We start from the raw sequence: 21,912 nt of genomic DNA on the forward strand, positions 1-21,912 counted from the left end.
GATAATTTTAGAGCACTGAGATAATATGGAAAAACAGCAATCACGTAGCTTTTAAAACTAACTCTGAGATTAAAGAAAAAAGCATGTAAACAACTAACTGTGTTTTGTTAAAAGACTTATAGGAGCATTGTGACCTGACCAAGGACAAAGAATTTCCCAACCTCCTCGGGCCCTCACTGGCGCCCAGATGTCTGAAGTTGTTGGTCACTTCTAGATCCCAACTCCTTCCTCTACCTCTTGCCTTTAACATTAAAAGAACCTAAAATTTATAGTGACTTAAGATGATACTTTAGGATGCTAGCATGTCATTTTCTAGGTTTGCTGGCTTTCTTAATAAACCTGCTTTTCCTCTCACCTCCTGTCTCTTGAGTTTTGTCTTTCAAGTAGCAAGCAGCTGAACCTGGGTTCAGTTACAATTTCAGGATACAGGCTCAATTCTGGTTTAGGACTTACGGTGGGTGTTACCACTAGGGTTAGGGTGAAATTGATGTTGAGTTTCACTTTGGGATAATATTGAGTTTTGATTATGGTTTCAGATTTAGGCACTCAAGTTGAACTGGGGAAAATTGAGTTAGGGTTAGAGTCAGAAGTCTAGGTCAGGTTAAAGGTCAGGATCAAAGTTAGGGGTCAGAGATTGGGTCAGGGTCAGGGTCTGGGTTATAAATATGGGTTGGGGTTGGTGTCTGGATCTGGGTTGGGTAGGGGTTGGGGTCAGGGTCAGGGTTGGATCAGGGTCAGTGTCAGCATAGGGTTAAGTTTAGGGGTTAGGGTTAGGTTTTGGATCAGTGTTGGGGTCAGGGTCGTTATCACATTTTCCTCATTAGTTTAGCTTTATAATAAGTGTTAGGGTACAGATGTGTGAGTTTCTTAAGTTTGTGTTTATTCAGTGTTGTCTATTATAGGTTTAGAAACAGTTTGCTGGGAATTTAATTGAGATTGCACTGAATATATAGATCAACTTTGAAGGAATTTTTATCTTAACTATGTCTAGTCTACCAATGGTGAATAAGGAATATCTCTGCATTTATTTACGTTTTGTTTCTTTTAACTGTGTTTCTAGTTTTTATGAATGCATATGTGTACCTTTTTAAAAAATTTATACTTAAGAACTTTAATTTTGAGGCCTGCTGTTGTAAATGATATTGATTTTTTTAAATACTGTATTCCAGCTTTCAAATTCCAGTTTTATCCATACATAATTGCTGATACGTAGGACATCAATTGACTTTTGTCCGTTGACCATCTACTTTGCTTTTTATCTCTATCCATTTTGGTCAAGGCAAGGGATGGTAGGCTCTCTTTCAGTTTTAATTTCCAAAATCATGGCATGGAATTATCAGAACAATGGATTTTCAGAGATTCACGGGGACCGCAGACCGCAGCCTATGGGCACCACTAAATCGTGAGCGCCTGAGCATCCTGTACTGCCCCCAACGGCCTGTAGGGGCATGCAAACCCACCTTTTTGGACCCTCATGAGGCCCCCATGTTCTCTGCGTAGACATCCGGCACCTCCACAGTGAGGACCAAGCTTTGTTCTCAGGTTTCACCCAGGAGGTGCTGCTGTGGCTACAGGACAGCTGGGGGCCATGCCCAGGGAGGACCCAAATCTCCTTCTCCTCAGGACCCACCTGGGAGACCCTCTGTGGCTAAGGAACACCTGGGGGTCGTGCCCAGGGAGGACCCAAGCCTCCTTCTGCTCAGGAGGGACCTGGGGAAGCACCCTGGCTTCAGGACACCTGAAGGTGAGGAATAAGGTTCCTGTCCATGCCCTGAGTGCAGAGGAGGGAACGCTGCCATATGTTTTACTTTCCTCATGTTGTTAGGGATCCTTGGGGTGTTACTTTTCTGGCCGGAAACCTTTGTGGCTAGTGGAGCCTTTGCTGCAGTTTTACCCTGGCCCGCTGGACTCGTTCTACCCACTTGGCCTGGTAGGCTGCACTCAGCTCATGCTACTGGCCTGGAGCCCATGCCTGCCAAGGGCGAGTCAGGCGTGGAGTGGTGAGGGGTGTCTGAGCGATTGTAGGGTCTGGCCACTGCACAGCAGGCAGCTCAGGGTGCCGGCATGGGTGCTGGCTCTCTGCAAGGCTGTAGCTGGACTCTCTTTTCGGACTCAGCCCACCTGCACCCAGGTGAAATAAACAGCCTTGGTGCTCACACAAAGCCTGTTTGGTGGTCTCTTCACGCTGACGCGCGTGACACCAATGATGACCTTAAGTGATTTTTAATTAACTTCAGCTTAATAGGCCATCATTTTCAGGACCCAACTGTTAAAAGACAAAATTACAGCACATCTAGGTTTGCAGATCTTAATTGGCTTTTGTTTGAGATTCTAGAATCAGGCAGCAGTCCGGACCAAAAATGGTCCAGAATGCTCTGCCACATGACATCTGCAGGTTATGTTTATAACCACAGAAAAGAAAGTGACATACAGAAAACAAGTGAAATACAGAGACAGCTCCATTGGTTACAGCCTGGATTTGCCTTTATGGAACCTAGTTTGAACAGTTGGCCGCCTGCCATTGGCTGACACTTGGCAGCTGTGATTGGTTTAGCCTCAGCTATTTGTTATAAAGACAGATTTCTAAGTCAGATTTTCAGTTTGTTTATATACTAACTTAGGTTGTAGTTCTTTACAAGGACTCGTTGGGAGGCTTCTAAAGCCCAAATTTAGTTTAACAACTCCCTCCTTTTGGTCAGCCTTTTAATTTTGAGAAATTGACCAAAACTTTTGGGCATTGTCACCATGACTCCACTCTCTGTCATCATTATAAATGGGCTTATTTGGTCTCAGTATGGAATTCAGAAGTTCTTATTTGGTCTCAGTTCCCACTGGGCAATAGCAGAACAGTGAGTTTTGTAAGATGGAAACAAGGAAACAGAACAATGGAAAATAACAGCTGATTGGTTATGTAAACCAAAAATAAGATTCTAAGGCCCCCAACCACCTGAATGGACTCCTCTCAGCCAAGGGGATTGCAGAGTTAACCTGAAAATCTAGTTCAGACCATTGTGGAAGAGGGGGTTGGACATGCCTCATTACACCCCTCCAGCATTAACATCAACACAGACCTTAGGTCTGATAAGAAACGTTTATAATCTTTTTTTCTCTGAAGCCTGCTACTTGGAGGCTTCATCTGCATAATAAAACCTAGGTCTCCATAACCCCTTATCCACCCAGACATTCCTTTCTACTGATAATAACTCTTTCAACTAATTCCCAATCAGAAAATTTTTAAATCTATCTATGACCTGGAAGCCCCCACCCCGAGTTGTTCCACCTTTCCAGATCAAACCAGTGTAAATCTTACATGTGTTGATTGATGTATTATGTCTCCCTAAAATGTATAAAGCAAGCTGTACCCTTACCAACTTGGGTAAATGTCATCGGGACCCCCTGAGGCTGTGTCACGGGTGTGTCCTTAATCTTGACAAAATAAACTTTCTAAATTCACTGAGACCTGTCTCAGATATTTTGGGTTCAGTTAATATCAGGTCCCTTTTTGGGTAAGGGTTAAAGCAGAGGGGATTTCCTTATGCTGACTCAGGTAGACGGGAATCCTTTCTTTTTCAGGAAACACTGGTCTGTTTTGGGATTTATCTGCTTCCTTAACACTTCAGTTTGGTTGTGTGGCATTTGGCGTCAGTTATTCCATCCTGGTTTGGCCTGGTCTGTTGTGGCCTAGTGCAGGAGCCCAGTTAATAACTCTCCCCTTTTGGTCAGGTTCTCACCTAGGTGACCAAAACATAGGGCATTAGTAGTACTCTCAGTCACCATCATTTTGGGTTTCTGGTCTCAATGTAACGCCAAAGGTTCTTGCCTTAGCCACACCAAAGAATTGATGTGGCGGCAGCCGCGGTGAGAGAGAGACACGGATCAGACTGAGAGAAAAAAGCTGTAGGCTTTATTGAGCAGAGTGGCAGTACAAAGCTTCCACAGCGTGAAGGGTCCTGGGCCGGTAGCCAGTGTTAGATTTTTTGATCACCCCTTTAAACCCTTTAAGGCGGGAAATACGTGCGGCGGGAAGATGTTACCAGAGCGAGAAACAAAGACAATTAACATGTATCAGATCTGAGGAAACCGGAATTGTAACTTAAGGTTATCTACTTTATGACCTTGCAGCGGCATGGCAAAGGAGACAGGATCTCACAGGATTTTACAAACTGTGTTTACAAGGAATCGGAATTGGGAGCATAGATAAGGTTTGCTGGTCACAGAAAAACGGGCTTTTAACATTCCTTTCAGTTTCAGGGGAGGGGGAAGGGAGAGAGGGAGCGAGGACACAGGGAAGCTTACAGCAAAAGTTTCGCTGTTTATAGCTTTCTTGGGGAAGAAAACACATGCACAAATTCTGATGTTAGGAATATTTTAAGCATATATCTTCAATATTATTCATCCAGGACCAAAGTAAGTCCTGTTGCAGAAAATGAGTTTCATAGCTTTCTGAGCCCCTGCTAGACCCAGGAAGCCCAGCTGGCACCTCCTCTCATCAACACATCGTTTCAGTAAAGTCAAGAAAACTTTATTCCATTATTGTTACCAGTGGCAGGTATCCAAGTTACCCTGAGTTACTAACAGTGAATCCATATGTGTCTGCAGCAACTTCAGTTCTTGCCTCCTTAGGAGAAAGAATTCGACTGAGGGACATAAAGTGGAAGAAGAGACCAAGGCGAGTTTTAGAAGAAGAGTGTAAGTTTATTTTAAAAAGGCTTATAGAACAGGAAAGGAAGGAAAATTCGCTTTGAAAGAGACCCAAGTAGGCATCTGAAGGTCAAAGACAGCATTTAACTTTGATCCTAGGACTTTATAGGCTCACCTCTTTCCCATGATTTTTCCCTTAGGGTGGGCTGCCCGCATGCACAGTGCCCTCCTTACCCTTGGGAACTGAGCACTTGCCGTCTTTTTAGGAAGCTTGTACGCGTGCCCATCTGAGGCTTTCCTCTCTTTTCTGGTGGAGTGTCCCCAGAAGGTCATACTTCACCATTTTGTCTCTTAAGCACATGCCCAGGAAGTTTCTTCTCCCTGTCATTTGCATTCAATTAACACTTCAATGTTAACAGCTGTGGATCATCAGGAGATTCTCTCTCCCTGGTGCCCTGGTGCTGGCTGCCAAATTAAAAAACCTGCTTGTAACAGAAGTTGAATGGAGCTCATATCTACAGATATTTAGGTCTGAGTCTTCTGGGCAGCTGTCCTCATCTTAGCTCAAGTAAACTGTAAAATTCTATTTTGTGCCTCAGCTTCTTCCTTTAGGTCAACAATATGAACATACTTCAATATGGTACATTTGTTCCTGATGAGCTACTTCTGTTGTACAATCAAATGTAAGGAAGTGTCAATGAAAACAGTCAAACTCTGTAAAACATTTGAAGAGATTTATTCTGAGCCAAATATGAGTGACTATGGTTAGGACACAGCCCTTAGGAGGTCCTGAGAACATGTACCAAGGTGGTCAGGGTACGCCTTGTTATTATACATTTTAGGGAGACATGGCACTTCAATCACATACATTTAAGAAATACATTGGCTTGATCTATAAAGCTGGGACAACTCGAAATGGGGGGCTTCCAGCTTACAGGTAGATTTAAAATTTTTCTGGTTGACCATTGGTTGAATTTATCTAGAGACCTGGGATCAATAGAAAGGAATGTCTGGGTTAAGATAAAGGATTTTAGAGACCCAAGTTCTTATTTGCAGAGGAAGTCTTCAGGCAGTAGGCTTCACAGAGAATACGTTTTAAAATGTTTCTTATCATACTTAAAGTCTGTGTTGATGTTAATTCCAAAGAGGTATAATGAGGCATGTCTGACCCTCACTTCCCGTCTTGGCCTGAAACAGTCTCTCAGATTAAATTTTAGAGAGCCTTGGCTGAGGAGGAAGTCCATTTAGAAGGTTGGGAGCCTTAGAATTTTATTTTTGGTTTACAGAAGTGTATTTTGCTTTTGATATTATTAACTGTATTTCAAGTCTAACATGTTTTCCTAGGAGCATTAAATACTCTGTGGATTTTATTACACAAATAAGGCACAGATCCCATTTTATCATTACCTTCATTATTACCTATATTGACATAATTTCAACTGAATTTGGAAACATTCCAGAGTCTGGGCTTCCAATAATCCTTTGTGATCCTCTAAAAGGTATATTACATTTTTCCTCAAGACATAGCAATATCTAAAATCACTCATAGAATGTCCTGCCACTTTTGTTTATCTAATTTCATCAATTTCTCTAAAATTGACTTTGAATATCCCTTTAAACTCTTCTGTTTTAGAAAGCATCACAAGGAGACACCGAATGATCGTGGTCACAAAATCTGTTCATATTCTTCCTTTCTCTGAATATTTTTTGCAGTGACAAATATTTGTTTCTGTTGTATTACTGTTAAAAGGAATGCTTGGAAACAAAGACAAAGATTCATTACAATAAGTGATCCAGTCACAATAAATCAATTTGTCATTTGGACCTTTTTTTTTTTTCTGAGATGGAGTCTTGCTCTGTCACCCAGGCTCGAGTGCAGTGGCGCGATCTCGGCTGACTGCAACCTCCGCCTCTTGGGTTCAAGCAATTCTGCCTCAGCCTCCTGAGTAACTGGGATTACAGGTGCCTGCCACCACACCCAGCTAATTTTTGTATTTTTAGTAGAGACCAGGTTTCACCATGTTGGCCAGGCTGGTCTCAAACTCCTGACCTCGTGATCCACCTGCCTTGGCATCCCAAAGTGCTGGGATTACAGGTGTGAGCCACCGTGCCTGGCCCTTTTTTATTTTTTAAAGTTGTACTTTTGAAAATGTTCAGCAATGAATTGAAATAGTCTCTAAAATGTGATTTTTTCCCTGGTCTAAGGTGACCAGATTTCTAGAGAGTGAACCCAGGACAGAACCACACCACAAGTAAAAAATATGATTAATAAGTTTACACGAGTATGTTATTTTAACATAAAACATGCAAAAGAGGCACTTATTTGGAATTATTTATTAGTCTGCATTATATACTTCACAGCATCATGAATGTTCTTATTTTTTAAATGTAGGACTAGTTAGTGTCAATTACTACTATTAGTACAAATAATTAACAAACTATAGAAATAATCCCTGAAAGTATAGTCTTAATTATTAGTACAAATAAATAAGCAGATGTTTGAAAAAAATTACGTTTTGAATAAAGTTATTATTTTAAATTAGTTTTAGATTCACACAGAAATTAGAAAGAAGAATGCAGATTTCCCCTGTAGCTGCAACCTAGTTTTCCCTCTTATTAACATATTAGTATGTATCAGATGTCTTCTTAACATCTTACATCATTTGTTACCATTAATGACCAGATATTAATATGTTATTACTAAATAAGCCCACGTTTTATTTGGTTTCCCTCAGTTCTATCTTTTTCTATTCTGGGATCCCATCTCAGATCCTACAGGACATTTAGTTGTCATGTCAGGCTCTTCTTGCCTATGATTGTTTCTCAGACTTTCCTTCTGATAGCCTTGACAGTGTAAGAAAGACTGGTCAGGTATTGTGTAGAAAATATCTCATTGTGGTTTACTTGGTATTTTTCTCATAATTATACTGGGGTTACGGGTTTGGGGGAAGCAGATCAGATGTGTAGTGCTATTCTAGTCTCTTCATGCTCTCAAGATGCATTATCACCATTAATGTTAATTTTGATCACCTGGCTGAGGTAGTGTTTTTAGGTTTCTCACTGTGAAGTTACTTTTTCCCCATGTCCATACTGTATGTATTCTTTTGGAGGAAATAAGCATGCAGAGCCCACACTTAAGGAGTAGGGAGTTAGCTCTACTTCCTTGATGGCTGAGTATCTACATTAGGTATTTGGAATTCTTCTGTATAAGATATTTCTATTTGGCCAATTTGCATATTTATTTAATCATTTATTTAGACCAGTATGGACAACCAGACAGTTACTTCAATCTTTTGGTTATTATCCAATTGTACAGTATTTTGTTGCTTTGATTTCCTACCTGTGGCCATTGGGAGATCTTTCTATTGGCTCCTGTTTTCCTTTGACATAACTGCATGTTTTGTTTTGTTTTGTTTTAACAATTTCTTTCTGACACTTCAAGAGTATCCTGGCTCATATATTTACTGTCTCAGCCCTAGTTTAGCTATTTCTTCCAAGAGCACTGATTTCCCTTATTAGAGAATGGTTTTAAAAACTTATATCTGGCAGCTAAATATGCTCATTGCATCTTGTCCCTCACAGCTGACAATGCAAGGAAATATATATGTGTGTGTTCTAACCTACATATACATGCCTAATTATAAAGATTTCTATGTGGATCCATCTGTGTATATATTAAGCTACATGTGAGTTTATACTGATATCTCCAATCAATGGACTCTGATCCATTATCACAAGAATTATTCTAGCCTCCCCTGCCTTTCTTGTCTGTAAATTCTCACTCTGACAGCAAGGAATTAGCTTCTACCATCTGCCATTTATTTAATCCCTTGTTCCAGTATAAACACCGAATTTATTGTTGTTGATTCAAATTATAAGTTGTGATTTAATAATAAATATATGTTTGGTCTCTGTCTCTATTTCCTGGTACAGAGCTCCCAAAACCCTTACAATTTCTTGAGTGATAGGGGTGCTAGGAGCATTTTTTGTTCTCATATTTGGTCTTTGACCCTGGTTTCTGACACAGAGTTTCCAAATGCCTTAAAAATCTCTCAGGTAATAGGAATGTCTTTTGCTCTGCTCCTGGATGGCTTCAGGATGGGGCGTGGTCACCAGAAATACCAAGCCATGATTAGAAGCTTGTAACTTTCAGCTTCATATCCTATCCTCTGAGGGGAAAGGGGGCTGGAGATTGAGTTAATAATCAATCATGCCTATGTGATAAAGCCTCCATAAAAATCCCTGAAAGAGGTGGGAGGATCACTTCAGGCCAGGAATTTGAGGCCTGCCTAGGCAACACAGTGAGACTCCATCTCTACAGAAAATAAGAGAGTTGGGTGTGGTAGTGTGTGCACGTAGTCCTAGCTACTTGGGAAACTAAGGCAGAAGGATTGCTTGAGGGCGGGAGTTCAAGGTTGCAGTAAGCTATAATTGTACCCCTGCACTCCAGGCTTGGGATAGAGCGAGACTTTGTCTCTTAAAAAATCCTAAAAGATAGGGTTTAAAGAGTTTCTAAATTGTTAAATACATCCATGTGCAGGGAGCATGGCAAACCCCAACTCCATGAGGACAGAGCTTCCGCACTTCCAAACTTTGCTTTGTGTACCCCCTTATCTGGCTGTTCATGTGTTTTCTTTACCATGTCCTTTATAATGAACTGGGGTCTTAGTCCTTTCAGGTTGCTATAAAAAAATACCATAGACTGGGTAACTTTTAAACAACATAAATTTGTTGCATATAATTCTGGAGCCTGGAAAGTCCAAGATCAAGGCACTGGAAGATTCCATGTCTGGTGAGGGCTCGTCTCTCAGAGATAGTACCTTCTAGCCATGTCCTCACATGGCAGAATAGAGAAACAGGCTCCCTACAGACTCTTTTATAAGGGCACTTGTGCCATTCATGAGGGCAGAGCCTTGATTATTGGGGAAATCTGTCCCCAGTATTTCAGTGTAGGTTCTTTCTGTCTTTCATAAGTGTCGGCCGGCTGAGAAATAAAGACAGACAGTACAAAGAGAGGAATTTTACAGCTGGGCTGCCGGGGGTGACATCACATATCAGTAGGACCATGATGTCCACCTAAGTCTCAGACCAGCAAGTTTTTATTAAGGGTTTCAGAAAGGGAGGGAGTGTAAGAACAGGGAGTAGGTACAAAGATCACATGCTTCAAAAGGCAAAAAGCAGTGCTGCTAGTAAGGGTCTAACAAAGATCACATGCTTCTGAGGGAACAGGACAAAGGGCAAAAGCAGAACTACTAATAAGGGTCTATGTTCAGCAGTGCACATATTGTCTTGATAAACATCTTAAATAACAGAAAACAGGGTTCAAGAGCAGAGAACCGGTCTGACCACAAATTTACCAGGGTGAAGTTTCTCCCCACCCTAGTAAGCCTGAGGGTACTGCAGGAAACCAGGGTGTATCTCAGTCCTTATCTCAACTGCATAAGACATACATTCCCAGAGCGGCCATTTATAGACCTCCCCCCAGGAATGCATTCCTTTCCCAGGGTATTGATATTAATATTCCTTGCTAGGAAAAGAATTTAGTGGTATCTCTCCTACTTGACGCGTCCATTTATAGGCTCTCTGCAAGAAGAAAAATATGGCTCTTTTTGCCTGACCCTGCAGGCAGTCAGACCTTATGGTTGTCTTCCCTTGTTCCCTAAAAATCGCTGTTATTCTGTTCTTTTTCAAGGTGCACTGATTTCATATCATTAAAACACACATGTTTTACAATCAATTTATACAGTCAACACAATTATCACAGTGGTCCTGAGGTGACATACATCCTCAGCTTATGAAGATAACAGGATTAAGAGATTAAAGTAAAGACAGGCATAAGAAATTATAAAAGCATTATTTGGGAACTGATAAATGTCCATGAAATCTTCACAATTTATGTTCCTCTGCCACAGCTCCAGCCAGTCCCTCTGTTTGGGGTCTCTGACTTCCCACAACACTTGACAATGAATTACCTGTTTAAACCATCCTCTTGGAGGTTAGGTTTCAACATATGAATTTTGGGGGGACACCAACATTGAGATCATATTAACCAGTAAACATAAGTAAATGTTTCCCTGAGTTCTATGAGCCATCATAGCAAATTATCAATCCTGAGGAGGAGGTGTGGGACTGTTCAATTTGCAGCTAAGTCATACAGAAGTATGAGTAAACTGGGGATTTACTAGTTGTGATTGGCATCTGAAGTGGGGGGGGCAGTCTGGTGTTACTGAGCCCTTAAACTATTAGGTATGTAATAACTCCAGTTAGTTCATGTCATAATTGAACTATATAACACCCAGCTGGTGTCCAGAAAGTTGGAGAATTGGTTGATATGGGAAAATCCCTCATATATTTGGTGTCAGAAGTGAAGTATTGAGAGTATAGATGAAAAACAGGTTTTTTTTTCTTTTTACAGATATACTGGTTTCAAAATTGACTATTACCCCTGGGGGAGAGAACTTTATAAAATAGAGACCACTATTTATATTCAGTATATTCTGCTTTTAGACTATAGATTCTACTCATTTCCAAAGTGACTTAGGTTAGCACTTTCTGCCCATCACCTGCAGTGAGTTTTTCCATAAATTTGTAATACAGTTAGATTCCTGATCCCATTCTATATTTTATCCTTGGATACTACTGCACCCTAAATGTTTGATTTAATTTGTATAGCTTGTGATTTATTCTTTGGGCTGTAAAACTATATCAGTTTTATAAAATGCATAGTGTCAGGTATCCACCATTGAAGTACCTTCAAATACCCACCCTATGTAACCACTGATTCGTTTATCTCTGTAATTTTGCCTTTCCCAAAATATGATATAAAATGGGGTGAAATGGTGGGTAGCCTCTTCAGACTGGCTTCCTTCACTTAGCAGTATACATGCAAGATTTACCCATGTCTTCGCATGCGTAGATAGTTTATTCCTTTCTATTTATGAATGGTACTCCATTGCATAGATGCACCCCAATTTGATCATGCATTCAGCTATTGAAGGAAATTCTGATTACATTTTGACCATTATGAATAGAACTGCTGTACATAATTACATGCTGGTATATGTTTGAACATAACTTTTCAAAGCAGTTGTCTAAATACAGGCAATTTAGGAGTGCAATTGTCAGATTATAAGGTGAGAGTTGTTCAGCTTTGGAAAAAAAAACGCGAAAGTGTCTTCTGAAGTGACTGTACCATTATGCGTTCTACCAGCCAATGAATGACAGCTCCTATTGTTCTTCAGCCTCCAGCAAGTGGTTTATCAGGGCTCTTTTAGAGTTCAGCAGTTCTAAAGGGTGTGCAGCTATCTCATTGTTGTTTTAATTTACAATTTCCTAATGATATGTTGAGCACCCTTTTGTATGATTATTTGCTATCTTTATATTTTATTTGGTCAGGTGTCCATTTAGCTATTTACTCATTTTAATTGGGTTTTTAGTTATCTTATTGCTTCTTTTTAAGAGTTCTTTTTGTGTTATCATTATTTTTAGAGACAGTGTCTTGTTATATTGCTCGGACTGGTCTCAAACTACTAGCTTCAAGCCATCCTCTTGCCTCAGCCTCCCAAGTAACTGGGATTGCAGGCATGAGCCACCCCACCCAACATCTTTTTATATTTTTAATACAATTGTTTTTACCAGATATGTATTTTGTAAATACTTTCTCCCAGTCTGTGTCTTGTCTTTGTTCTCTGAATAGGCTCTTTCTCAGAGTTGAAAATTTAGTTTTATAAAGTCTGTGTTATCAGTATTTTTTCTTTTGTGATGTGGCTTTTGGTATTATGTGTTAAACCTCAGCACCAAATCCAAGGTTGCACAGGCTTTCTTCTAGAATGTTTATAGTTTTGCATTTCAAATTTCAGCCTATGGATGATTGTGAGTGAATTTTTGCATAATTTTAGTTTGCATGTACATTATTTTCATTCCATATGGTTTCTAAATAATTGTTCCATCACTATTTTTGAAAAATACACGGGATAGTGAATTTCCAAAATAATCGCACTGAGTAAATGAATGCTGAATTGTATTGATTTTTCAAGAGAGCCAAGAGGGGGCACACGTCCACCGATAAACTGTGAGCAAGAGCGTCCTGTGCTGAGTCCTGACAGCCACCAGATGGCATGTGAACCCGCCTCTTCTGACCATCTCCCCTCAGATGGTGGGAGCAGGGAGACAAGAACTTCATTTTCCTCAAGGCTCCAGGATGGAGATCTAAACTTGATACTGTTCAGTGGTGAATTAAAAGCTTCTGTCCACAACTCGGAGTGTAGCGGAGATTCTGATTCAGAGGATTCTGCACAGGAAGGGTTCATGTAGAAAAATATAACCCCAAAATCCCACTGTTGCCATTGCACCCTGAGATCATTCTCAACATCCAAGACATAGTGGCTACAATATATATTCACACAATGGCCTCTAGTAGTTAGTATCCACTCAGTGGCCCCTACTACTGATGGAATCATGTCCACACAGTGGCCACTAATGAAATTCACACTCTTTTGAGAATTATTGGTTTCACAGCTTTGGCTGAAATGGAGCCTCTATAATGAAGTTTGATGTCATCTCTACTTTCCTGGTATGGTATTGATATGGTTGTTTTATAAAGTAATTTACTTTCCAGTAAATTCATACTTATAGGAAACATGCAATGGCAGTACAAAATACCTTTTATCCTTTCTCTCAGATTCCCCAGTGGTCACTCCAGTACCAGATTTGCAACTTCACACAAAATACTCTACTGTATTTTACTCAAAGCAGGGACACTCTCCCAGGTAACCACCACATAACCTCCAAATCAGGAAATCAATATGGTTTCTACCTGACAATCCAATCAGCTGACCCAGTTCACTTTACTGCCTGTGCTGACTGTGAGAAAAATGTCTCTTTCCCTTTGGATCCAGTTTTCTTTTCCTGGAACTGTTCCTGTGACTATCTCTCAGTTTCACAACCTTGGCAGATTTAAATAATAGAGATGAATCCAAGCTGCCTCTGTCATAGTTTTGCCAATGCACCACAACATAGAAGTTTCTCTTTGCCTGAGGTAGTACCTGGAGTTCTTTGTCTCATGACCAAGAAAGTTAAGGAGTGCAGACACAAAGGGTGAGGTTGGAGTGAAAGTTTAATAAGCCAAAGATGAAAGCTCTCCACTACGGAGAGGGGACCCAGAAGAGGGTTGCTGTTTTTACAGTTGAATGCAAAGGCTTTTATAAGAAACAGATGAGGTCTTGGTATCTCATTTGCATAAGGCATGAATTTCTGGTGGCGCCACCCCATCTTTCTAGTGCACATGCGGGCTCTTATCTTGAGTTCACTACCTAATTGCTTTGTTCCCCCTTACTGTGCATGTGTCAGGGGACAGAATTTTCCATTGTGGGCATGTCTGGGCAAGTCACCTGTGTAGCTTTTCTTATCTGGTGTGCTGTAGCCATGTCTTAGGCAAGTCCCCTTGTGCATGTTCCTTATCTGTGCCTGCAGGCTGTTCTTTTGTTTGAAAGGATTCATCTGAGCACCCACCCTAACTGCTGCCTGACCGGGTTTTTTCCTTTCTCCTCTCTCACTTCTGCCCCCTGTTTCCTCCTGAGCAGTTGCAAACACTGCACTCCTCAGTACAGCCCACCAGGAGGAACACAGAGCCACCCACCCACCACAGGTGATCTCAACTTGATAATGGCAAAATACACACATAAATCTCATCCTGTCACTCTCCTGATTTAATGTTCCTAATGGGTTTCCACTGGCCTTAGAACAAGGTCCATATGGCTTTTCATGGTCTACTGGCCCATGAGTGCTCCTGCCTGCTCCCCTCTCCCATTCAGTCAGCCCCAATTACCTGCAGTCCAATTTGCTTTCAATTACAGGGACATAGCAGGCTTGTGGGTGTCTCAGGAATTTTATGCATGTTCTCTTAACCCATGCACCCAGCGCCCCCAACCTTATCAAATTTTCTAAGACTTTGTCCGGCTAATTCTGTTGTAGTATGACAAGCCACAGACAAAACCCCTCAGACACCGACTTAAAGAAGGAAGTGGTTTATTTGGTCGGGAGCATTGGCAAGACTCTTGCCTCAAGAGCTGAGCTCCCCAAGTGAGCAATTCCTGTCCCTTTTAAGGGCTCACAACTCTAAGGGGGTGCACATGAGAGGGTCGTGATCAATTGAGCAAGCAGGGATAGGTGACTGGGGGCTGCATGCACTGGTAATTAGATCAGAACAAAACAGGACAGGGATTTTCACAATGCTTTTCTATACAATGTCTGTAATCTATAGATAACATAACCAATTAGGTTAGGGGTCGATCTTTAACTACCAGGTCCAGGGTGTGGTGCCGGGCTGTCTGCTTGTGGATTTTATTTCTGCCTTTTAGTTTTTACTTCTTCTTTCTTTTGATACAGAAATTGGGCATAAGACAATATGAGGGGTGGTCTCCTCCCTTATTCCCCCCCCACTTTGAGAATCTCACTCAACAGTGGGAGTTCTCACTTTTATTCTCCTTACCCATGTCTTCTTGCAAGACAGATCAATAGTGATTCATATAGTACACTTGTGCTGAAGCATTTTGGTGAACTAAGGTAGCAATGAAGCTTTGTATCATTTGAAGAAGTACAGGTAGCAAACAAGGGAGCAGTAAGCAGGTTCCTATTACTATTATAACTCTTATTATAAGAGGTTTAAATCCTTCTAGCGCTGGGAACCATTTTCCAAACATGGCTGCAGGATCAAATCCATGCCACACTTGCACGGGCACATGTGCCAGTTTTGTCATATCTCTAACTATGTCTTCCACTACTTGCCCTTGATCATCTATGTGTAGACAGCAATTAGTAAGGTTAAATTTCCCACACACCCCTCCTTCAGCTGCTAGCAAGTAGTCGAGAGCCAATCTATTTTGATAGATAGCATTTCTCATCTGAGTTTCTTGCTGGGCCAGTATAGTCAAGGCTCTGCCTGTTTTATTAGTGATTATTTCTAAGACAGCTTGTAACCGTGTGATTCAGTTGATCATGTAAATGGGGGTCCAGTATCCCCATGAGCTGTCTTGTGCCTAAGTAGCAGGCCCATAATATTGTATGATTCTCTCAGGGGGCCATTCATCATCTTTCCAATTTCTTATAGCTATGCTTCTCTTTTTGCAGGAAGCATACACAGGGAAGCCCAGGAGTTCACCTGTTTTTGTGGGCAGTGGGAAGAAAGATGGTCTAATAGTGCCAATAACACAACTACCTGCCCACTGGTCGGGTAATTTGGCGTAACTCTATGCTCCCATATCCAGTATAATCCAGTGGGGGCTGTCCACTCCCGGTGGGACTCCAGGTGAGTCCACCCATTTTGCAACTTTGGGAATTTACTAAATGGATTCCTTTCTGTGTGATTTGAACTGCACCAAGTGACTGTTTTTGTGGTACCATTATACAGTTTCTGTCCTAGACAACTAAGTAGCCCTACGGGGTGAGTGAATTCTTTTCTTTCTCTAGCTATGCAATATTGTCCAATAATTGAGGCTTTTAGGACGCAGAAATTATCAGGGTGATTCTTTTCAGCCAGGAATTCATCAGGAACTCGTCTGTAGCTACTAATTCTCGGGCTTCTCATGGCCATTGATCTCCCATTACAGTTCCTCCACATACATAACATGAAGTGACATTGAGAGACTGGGCTACATGCTCGGCTAATTGCAAAAACAAATTTCTTGTTTTTCCTGGAATTTCTGGTACTGGCACATTTAATTCATCATAGAAAGTTGGAAACACTGGCTCAGGAGAGCGTCTGTAAACTTCTCCTCGAACTAAGATATTTACTCAAGGATCCAGTCTGGCCCCATCGATTTCTAAGGTCACACGCTCCCCTTTTTTCCAGTGAGGATCAAGGGGGTTGGTTATTACTAGCTCTAAGGGGTTACAATGTCCCTTAGTACAGGAAGGGCCATTTTTTCCTTTCTGAAGGTGGACTGGATCCTTTTCATTTTTTATCTAAGTGGCCCAAATGACACAAGACGAGCATCCACATTCATTTCTACACAGTCTTAATTCATGACAAATGTACTTATTTTCAGTAATATCACCTTTTTCCTAACTAAAAAAGCCGCATCCCCTTCCTAACTTATTGCTATTAATGACAGCACAGGCATCAAATTTCAAGATTATGTGTTTGGGCACCCCTTTTTCTTCTGTTCTGGCTAATACTTTACTAGTATCATTTATGAGTCCCCACCAGTCTTCAGTCCTTAATCTTATTTCAAAAACTGTCCACATGGGAAGCTCAGAGGGGTCATAACACACATCTGGTCAGTCGTTTTCTGGGCTACATACCTTGTACTGAGTGTCATTATATAAACATGTTCCTTTTAAAGTTCCTAGGCATTCATAGTAACTATAGAACAGAAAGATTGTTTTAACTTGCTGCCCTACCTCGGTAACCTCATGTATACACTGAGAGCAGTCTCCATGTGGAGAAAATCAGTGGAAATTTTTACTATACAAGTCCAAATTATAAGGAAAATGAGTCCCATGATGATCTTCCTCATGCTTCAGCCACGTAGACCAGTCAGCTTCCGGGTGTGACTGGAACAGGGCTTGTTGTCCTCCTCAGAGTCACTTTGCAGGGTTTGTCTGGGCTCGGTTTTGCCTCCCAGGTTTCAGTGGCTGCAGGTTTCACACGGCTGTGGTGGATCCAGGCTGGGATTCCTTCTACCTTTACAGCCATGGAGGTGGTCAGGAAGATGGTCTGAGGTCCTTTCCACCGTGGCCGCAAAGGGGCTACGTTCCAGTCCTTTATCCACACAAGACCACCTGGGGAGAAAGTATGAATTGGGGCGAATAAGCTGATGGGACACCTCTCATTTACCCAAGTTGAGATTGTTTGTGTAATTTTTCCTAAAGCCTGTAGCTGTCGCTGTAATTCAATTCCACCTAACTCTCAGGGAGTGCCTGGAAGCTCCCATAATATAGGAGGAGGCCTATGATACAGTATATCATAAGGGGAGTATCCTGTTTTCTTAGAAGGAGTGCATCTAATTTTAAACAATACCATAGGAAGGGCCTGTATGCACTTTAATCCTGTTTCCTGACATACTTTCCCTATTTTTGATAGTATAATTCATTCGCTCCACCTTTCCGGAACTTTGAGGTCAGTAGGCGGCATGTAGCTTCCAAGTGATTCCTAATGCCTTTGCTGTCTTCTGTACCAAGTCAGCCACAAATGCTGGCCCATTATCTGAGCCGATTCATAAGGGCAGTCCAAACCTAGGAATAAGATCTCAGAGAAGCACACGGGTTACCTCGTAGGCCTTTTCAGTTCGTGTTGGATAAGCCTCCACCCACCCAGAGTAAGTACACACAAGAACCAGCAAATACTTGTTACCTCCACATTTTGGCATTTCTGTGAACTCCACCTGAAGATCCTCAAAAGGAGCCACTCCATAAGCTTGTATGCCGGGCGGAACAGTGGGGCCTTGCCTATCAATGTGCTGTGGGCAAGTAACGCACCATTGTGCTACTGCTTTGGCAAGGGCTGGCAAGTGTGAGACGTAGAAGTACTGCCCTAACAATTTTTCAAGTGACTCTTGTGCTAGATGAGTGGTTTCATGCATGGCCAATACGATTGTGGCTCCCAGCAACTGAGGCACAGCTACCCTCCCATCTGGCAGTCTGATCCATCCTCCTTTTTTTTACTTGCCCCCTTTCTGAGTGGAAGAAGTCTTTCTTCCTTAGAATAGGTAGGTACCAGGTCAGGTGTTTGAGGGAGTAAGGGGGTTGCTACCGATGCCCAGTAAGGGGTAGATGCTGCTTTTCAAGCTTCTGAGTCAGCTCGAGAGTTTCCTAAGGCCACTGAGGTGGAAGCTCGCTGGTGTCCCCTGCAGTGCATGACTGCCACCTTCTGAGGTTTCCACACTGCCTCTAATAATTGTAGAACTTCTTGTTGATATTTTATGTCCTTTCCCCTAGAGTTTAACAGGCCCTTTTACTTATATAATGCTCCATGCACTTGAAGGATTAGAAAGGCATATCAAGAGTCAGTGTAGATGTTTACAGTCTTACCTTCACTGAGTTCTAGAGCCCGAGTTAAAGCAATGAGCTCAGCCTTCTGGGCTGAAGTGCCTGTGGCAATGGTTTGGCTTCAATGGACAGCATCCAAAGTTACCACCGCATATCCTGCACATCTTTCTCCATGTGGATTGTGAAGTTGCTCCCGTCCATGTATAACTCCCAGTCTGCTGATGCCCATGGCTGGTCCCGAAGGTCAGGTCTGCTAGGATAAACTGAGTCCAACACTTCTACACAGTTATGCTTGACCGGGCTCTCTGATACTGGGAGCAGGGTGGCGGGATTTAGGGTGTTACGGACTTCAATGGTTATGCGGGGATTTTCACATAGCAAGCTTTGGTACTTGGTTAATCTAGCATTTGTTAGCCAATGATGTCCTTTGCTATTCATCAAAGTTACCACAGCATGGAGGGCCTTTATATTCAGGTTTTGCCCAAGGGTTAGTTTATCTGCTTCTTGTGCTCACAGGGCTGTTGCTGCCAGGGCCCTTAGACATGGTGGCCAGACTTTGGAAACCTCATCTAGTTGTTTTGAGAGATAGGCCACTGGCCTTGGCTGGGGCCCCACAGTCTGGGTTAAAACTCCAACTGCCATTTTTTCTCTTTCTGACACATAGAGTGTAAAGGGCTTTGTCAAATCTGGTAGTCCTAGGACTGGGGCCGACATAAGTTTTTCCTTTAACTTACAAAAGGCTTGCTGTTGTAGAGGCCCCCATTCAAAAGGCTCCCGGTCGCCCCCATTTGTAACCCTGTAGAAAGGTTTGGCTAGTACTGCAAAGTTTGGAATCCATAATCTGCAAAACCCCACAGCTCCTAGGAATTCCCTTACTTGCCTTCTGGTTTTAGGTTCCAGTAGGCTGCAGATGACCTGCTTTCTTTCTGACCCCAGGCTGCACTCCCCTTTCTGAACAGTAAATCCCAGGTAGCTTACCTGCTGTCTGCAGATCTGAGCTTTCTTCTTGGACACCTTATACCCACAGTCCTCCAGGTGCTGAAGCAGGGCATCCGTCCCTTTTGCACACCCAACTGCCATGGAGTGTCCCAGCAGAAGGTAGTCCACATACAGGAGCAAGACACAGCCTAGGTCTTTAGCAGGAAACTTTTGCAGGTCTTAAGCCAGGGCCTCCCCAAAGATAGTAGGGGAGATCTTGAACCCTTGGGGAAGCCAGGTCCAAGTGTACTGAGTAGTGACACCTGACTCCGGATCTTCCCACTGAAAGGCAAACAGCTTCTGGCTCTCAGGAGCTATTTTGATGCTAAAGATGGCATCTTTTAAGTCCAGACAGGTAAACCAGCTGTCCTCAGCCGGCAGCAGCCCTAACAATGTGTAAGGGTTAGGAACTGTTGGGTGCAGAGTCACTGTAGCTTGGTTGACCAAGCGCAAGTCCTGTACGATCGATAGTCCTTGGTCCCTTGGCTTAGGGACCAGGGAGGAGGGGGTGTTCCCATGGAGACTGGCAAGGAACTATAATTCCAAACGCTTTCAAGCGCCTGAGATGAACCTGGATTCCTTTGAGAGCTTCTCTGGGAACTGGATACTGCTTTTGTCTAATTGGTTGGGCCCCAGGCTTAACTTCTATGTGTACAGGGGCTTGGTTGACCACCAGTCCCGGAGGATTATCCTCTGCCCATACTTGGGGCCATCGCTTAGCTAGAGCTGGTTTTATCTCTTGGCCTGGCTCAGTTAGAAAAAGTCTCCATTCTTCTTCCTGGGGGACCATAAGGGCCATGATAACTCCTGTTCCTGGTAACTTTAGCTGTAAAGAGCCCTGTTTGTAAAGGAGATGTTGGCTGTCAGCTTGCTAAGCAAGCCTTTTCCCAGCAAGGGCACGGGACAGTCAGGCATGTAAAAGAACTGGTGAACTATCTCAGGTCCCCGCACCGAGCAGGTCTGTGGTAGACAGAAAGTGTGCTTAGTGGAAACTCCTGTTGCTCCGATTATATCAATGATTTTCTTGGATAAGGGGGTGACTGGGGTGGTCACTACTGAATGTTCAGCACCAGTATCAACCAAAAATTTAATGTCCTTGCCCCCAGTTGTAATCCTGACCATGGGCTCTTTGGGGGCGCTTGAGCCCGGTCCCCTTCCATCCAGTAGCCCTTCAGCCAGATTGAACAAAGCTCCCTCATCTTTATCTGAGGTCTTTTGTTGTGAATCACCTTGCTTTTCCTTCAGTTGGGAACAATTATCTTTCCAATGTCCTATTTCCTTACAATAGGCGCACTGGTTACGTTGCAAGAGTGTGCCATTAGACTGGGTATTCTTCCTGGAACCCCCCTTTCCCTCTCCTTTCAGGGGAATTCCCCTAATGGCCGTGGCCAGTAAGTCGGCGTTTTGCCTGGCCTGGCGTTCGCCTTCCTTACAGCTTTCTCTGTGGCTTGTTGCATCTCTATTCACAAACACTTGATTGGTTATTTCCAGTAACTGTGAGGTATTCATATCCACAAACCCAGCCTGTTTCTGCAATTTTCTCCTGATATCTTCTGTGCTTTGACTAAGGCCATGTTAATCATGCGCTGATTTTCAGGGTTATCTGGATCAAAACGAATGTACATATGGTAAGCCTCACACAGTCTTTCATAGAATTGCACTGCACTTTCCTCTTTTCCTCGGTTGACCTTAGAGACCTTATTTACATTTGTAGCCTTTTGAGCCCCTTTCTTTAGACCTTCTATTAATGCCTCATGGTACCGTCTTAGCCTCTCCATGTCTGGTCCCTCATTCGGGTCCCATTAGGGGTCTGTTCCTGGCAGCTGAATTCTTATATATTCTTGGGGGTTTTGGTAATCGGCTGGGATGTGCTCCTCTAGCCACTTAGTTGCCGCCTGGAGTACCCTTCGCCTTTAATCTGTATTAAAGAGGTACATGAGCAGCTGGTGGCAATCAGCCCAAGTAGGATTATGAGTCTGTATAATAGTTTGGAGCAAGTCAATTAAAGCTTGAGGCTTTTCGGTATAAGATGGAGTATTATTTTTCCAATTGAGGAGGTCAGCAGGGGTGAAAGGTTGATACACAAAGGCACGCCTTTCCACCATGTGTCCCTCCTCATCTATCCCAGTATATCGCTGCTCTCTCAGGGGCATTTGGATTCCAGTCTTGGGCTGTAAGCGAGCTGCCATGGGAGGAGTTTCTCCCGCGGCTTCATTTCCTCTTTTGTCTACTCTGGGTGGTCTAGGGGTGTGGTTATCTGGTGGAGGTGTAGGTGCTGTGGGCTCAGGGGTGGGGAGCCCTTCCTCT

At 42.7% G+C, this 21,912-nt stretch overlaps 1 pseudogene, besides 1 other annotated feature; it reads right to left on the minus strand.

Moving 5' to 3' along the window:
• Nucleotides 4,822-5,340: an enhancer, noted in NCBI's record as "NANOG hESC enhancer chrY:59291828-59292346 (GRCh37/hg19 assembly coordinates)". NCBI's record gives its function as "activates a minimal SCP1, AML or CMV promoter by ChIP-STARR-seq in primed H9 embryonic stem cells {active_cell/tissue: H9 hESC(primed)}" and the evidence as "EXISTENCE:reporter gene assay evidence [ECO:0000049][PMID:30033119]".
• LOC124905309 (uncharacterized) lies at nt 7,035-7,110 on the minus strand (annotated as a pseudogene).
• Nucleotides 7,111-21,912: the final 14,802 nt, after the last annotated feature.

The sequence above is a fragment of the Homo sapiens genome, chromosome Y, assembly GCF_000001405.40.
Source record: "Homo sapiens chromosome Y, GRCh38.p14 Primary Assembly".
NCBI classification, from domain to species: Eukaryota; Metazoa; Chordata; class Mammalia; order Primates; family Hominidae; genus Homo; species Homo sapiens.